The following is a 3634-nucleotide window of genomic DNA, read 5'->3' as shown; positions in this document are numbered from 1 at the left end:
GATAGATTCAGTAAAAGAGAGAAAATTAACAGTGCTGGTGATTTATTTTATGTAAAGAGTGAGAGAGAGGAAGAATTAAACTCTCAGATGTTATTTGATAAACAAGGTGAGTGAATGAGTAGATGCTGATTTGATCGCAAAATATTTAAAAATGTGAAGTCATCAGGACTCAGAGTCTGATTATAAACGGAAATTAAGGGAAAGAAATAGGCAAGTGGTGATTATGAACTACCCTTTAATAAACATATATGAGGAAGGAATATGAAAATGAGTTGAAAGTTTATGGTGAATAAAGGCTTGTTTTAGGTTTGGAGAGAACTAAGAGGAGAGTGGAGCCAGTAGCAAGGAACTAGTCGATGGTACAAAAGAGCTAGACAGTAATGGATGGGCAAAGATCAGTTCATGGTGATAGGTGATGCGATTGTCCTTGAACAGGTTTTGGTCTTAGAAAAACAGTTGACGATTAGGTATGTTTTCAGATAAATCAGTGGACATGGAAATAGGAAAGAGGAAAGCAAGAATATGAAAGGCACTAACCTTGACTTAATTGTCTCCATGCAACAGGAAACAAGATCTGACTGAGCAGCAGTTAGTTACTTGTCTCTTAGTCCAGTAGTGAACACATATTTGTTCAATTATTCACTAATTTATTGGGCAGTATCTATGGCAATACAGTATGTTAGGAACTATTTTAGGAAGAATGGATACAATTTTCAACAGGATACAACAGACCTCTGATCTCAAGCAATCAACATTTTTTTTTTTTTTTTGCAGTATTTGCAAAGTCATGCTCCATAAGCAGATGTAGTCTAGTGTTCAGGAACACAGGATTTGGAATGGAATACCTGGTTGTATTAGGCCATTTTCACGTGGCTGACAAAGACCTACCCAAGACTGGGCAATTTACAAAGAAGGAGGTTTAATTGGACTTACAGTTCCACGGGGCTGGGAAAGCCTCACAATCGTGGCCGAAGGCAATGAGGAACAAGTCCCGTCTTACATGCATGGCAGCAGGCAAAGAGAAAATGAGGAAGACGCAAAAGTGGAAACCCCTGATAAAAACCATCAGATATTGTGAGACTTATTCACTACTACCAGAACAGTATGGGGGAAACTGCCCCGGTGATTCAATCATCTCCCACTGGGTCTCTCCCACAACACTTGGGAATTATGGGAGTACAGTTCAAGATGAGATTTGGTTGGGGACAGAGAGCCAAACCATATCACTGGTTTTGAACTTTAGCTCTAGTGCTTATGAAATGTGTGACCCTGGGAATTTACAAACTTTCTCTGTTTCAGAGTGTTTTTTTAAATCTAAGAAATGGTGTCTTTTTAAATGTATAAAACTGAGTTTTGGTAACTGAGATTACTTATATTAAGAGCCCTCTTTATTATTAATTATTACTATTATAGCATAAACTTCATGAGGACAGGATTCATATTTCTTATAGATCTCTCTGTTTCTTCTCCCTGGAATATAGTTTGACACACAGTAATTGTTAAAAATATTTGTTAAATAAATATTAACAATAAATTAATAAAGCAATTTATCTTTCAATAAGGTTATACACTTTGAACTAAACAAGACTGGTGTCATACCTACCATGCTTCACAGAGTATCTAAAATCCCTATGTATATTACGCAACCTGTGTCATATAATGTAGCTCTTGACACTAATGTTATGATAAAGGATAACTTTGGAAATCCCTGGTAAAGTGTGTGATAAATAACATGTTTACTGATAAAATAGTTACCATTTCTTTTGTCTGGGACTATAAAAGAAATCTAAAAAGAAAACATTCAAAAATATATTTTAAAATAATTATACTTAAAATCTATGTAAGTACTTATGGAAGCTTTCCTTATACAATTTAGTGAAGAATATGTTTGCTATTAAGTATATACAATAGTTAACTATAGGAGTATACTTTTATCGAAGACAATCTATTTAATAAAGTAAAATTAGAGATATTTGTCAAAAATAGCAGAGTAGAGGTTGATATGGTTTGGGTCTGTGTCCCTGCCGAAATCTCATGTTGAATTGTAATTTCCAGTGTTGGAGGAGGGGCCTAGTGGGAGGTGACTGGATCATGGAGATGGACTTACTCCTTGCTGTTCTCTTTCCCCTTGCTGTTCCCTTGTGACAGTGAGTGAGTTCTTATGAAATCTGGTTGTTTAAAAGTTTACTCCCTATTCTCTCTCTCTTCCTCCCTCTCCAGCCATGTTGGACATGCTGGGTTTCCCTTTGCATTCTGCCATGATTGTAAGTTTGCTGAGGTCCCCTCAGCCATGCTGCCTGTACAGCCTGTGGAACTGTGAGCCAATTAAACCTCTTTTCTTTACAAATTGCTCAGTTTCAGGTAGTTCTTTATAGCAATGTGAGAATAAACTAATACAGAAGTCAAGACAGAAGTCAAAATACTGTAAAACATATATGTTAATATAATGAAAAGCAGCACTTTTAATATTCTACTTTAATAAAAAAAAATCTAAGTAAGTTATTCAGTGATTTATTTTAAAATGCAAAGCAAATGTGAGTTTAATGAGTTTAATACTTTGAAGAGCTAAATTCTTGAGCTCTAGGATACTGAAAAGAATAAAAGTCTGAGAAGTGTCCTAAGAGCTAAATATATTTTAAACTAAGAATGGAGAAGAAGGTTAGGTTAGGGTAAGAGACAGACAGAGAAAGAAAGAGATGATTTTAATGTTGACAGGCTTTATATACCTTAAGTATAGAAACTATATTAGGTTTTCAGAGCTATTAGAAAAATTGGACGGGGCACAGGCTTTGGAAAATTATATCTTAGCATGTGTAAGTGCAGCAGTTTTTTCCTTATAATTCTAAAGAAGAAAAATAGTTGGGAGGTAGCAGGGATTACAGTTTAATTTAGAAAGCATTTGTGGGAGGAATTTTTGGGAGACTTATAACAGTTATCTTATTTTCTGAGACAGAAACTCAAATATTAGACATTAAGTATTCTGGATTGGTGAGGAAAGCTTTAGAGGTTCAGCAATTAGCTTTCTATTCTGAAACAGTATTGTATTCGTTAACTTGGTAATTTTCTTAATAATGAATGACTACTGAAGGTTGTCAGACTCATTCTTTTGGGATGACAAAAATATTTTCCTATGTATAAATAAATAAGTTTCTGAATGTTAAACATTTCATGCATCACTGTATGGCATTTTATCATCCATCCAATTAGTACATTGAATGGAGAACAAACTCATTTAAACCACATACTTATTAAATATCCAGTAAAAGACCAAAACAGGGACATTCTCATTCTTCTGTTTTCCCTACAAGCACTGATACCATCTGGGCAGGTTTATTGCAGGAGCCATAGTATCTTTCCTCTTCCCATCAATTTTCTGTCTTCTGTTTCAGGAAAAAGATTCCACAAAAGAAAGAAAGGAAATATCTTTTCCTTTCGTCTTTTTAAAAGAGATGAGAAATAACATATCATAGGAGAATCAGAAATGGTTGGATTTGCACAATTTTTGCCAATTGAAACAAATTAACTGAGTGTAGCTAGAAATCATATGTTAACCTGTTTCAATTAATAAATTGATAAACCCCATAACTGCGTAGATAAAATAACTGCTACTACTAATAATAGTAGTAATAAAGCA

At 34.5% G+C, this 3634-nt stretch overlaps 1 annotated feature.

Annotated features, from left to right (window-relative positions):
* Window positions 201-1400: an enhancer, noted in NCBI's record as "MED14-independent group 3 enhancer chr4:135286515-135287714 (GRCh37/hg19 assembly coordinates)". NCBI's record gives its function as "activates an origin of replication core promoter dependent on BRD2, BRD4, P300/CBP and CDK7 cofactors, and independent of MED14, by STARR-seq in HCT116 cells {active_cell/tissue: HCT116}" and the evidence as "EXISTENCE:reporter gene assay evidence [ECO:0000049][PMID:35650434]".

Source organism: Homo sapiens, chromosome 4, assembly GCF_000001405.40.
Source record: "Homo sapiens chromosome 4, GRCh38.p14 Primary Assembly".
Lineage (NCBI taxonomy): Eukaryota > Metazoa > Chordata > Mammalia > Primates > Hominidae > Homo > Homo sapiens.
This window is presented reverse-complemented; position numbering and strand designations above follow the sequence as displayed.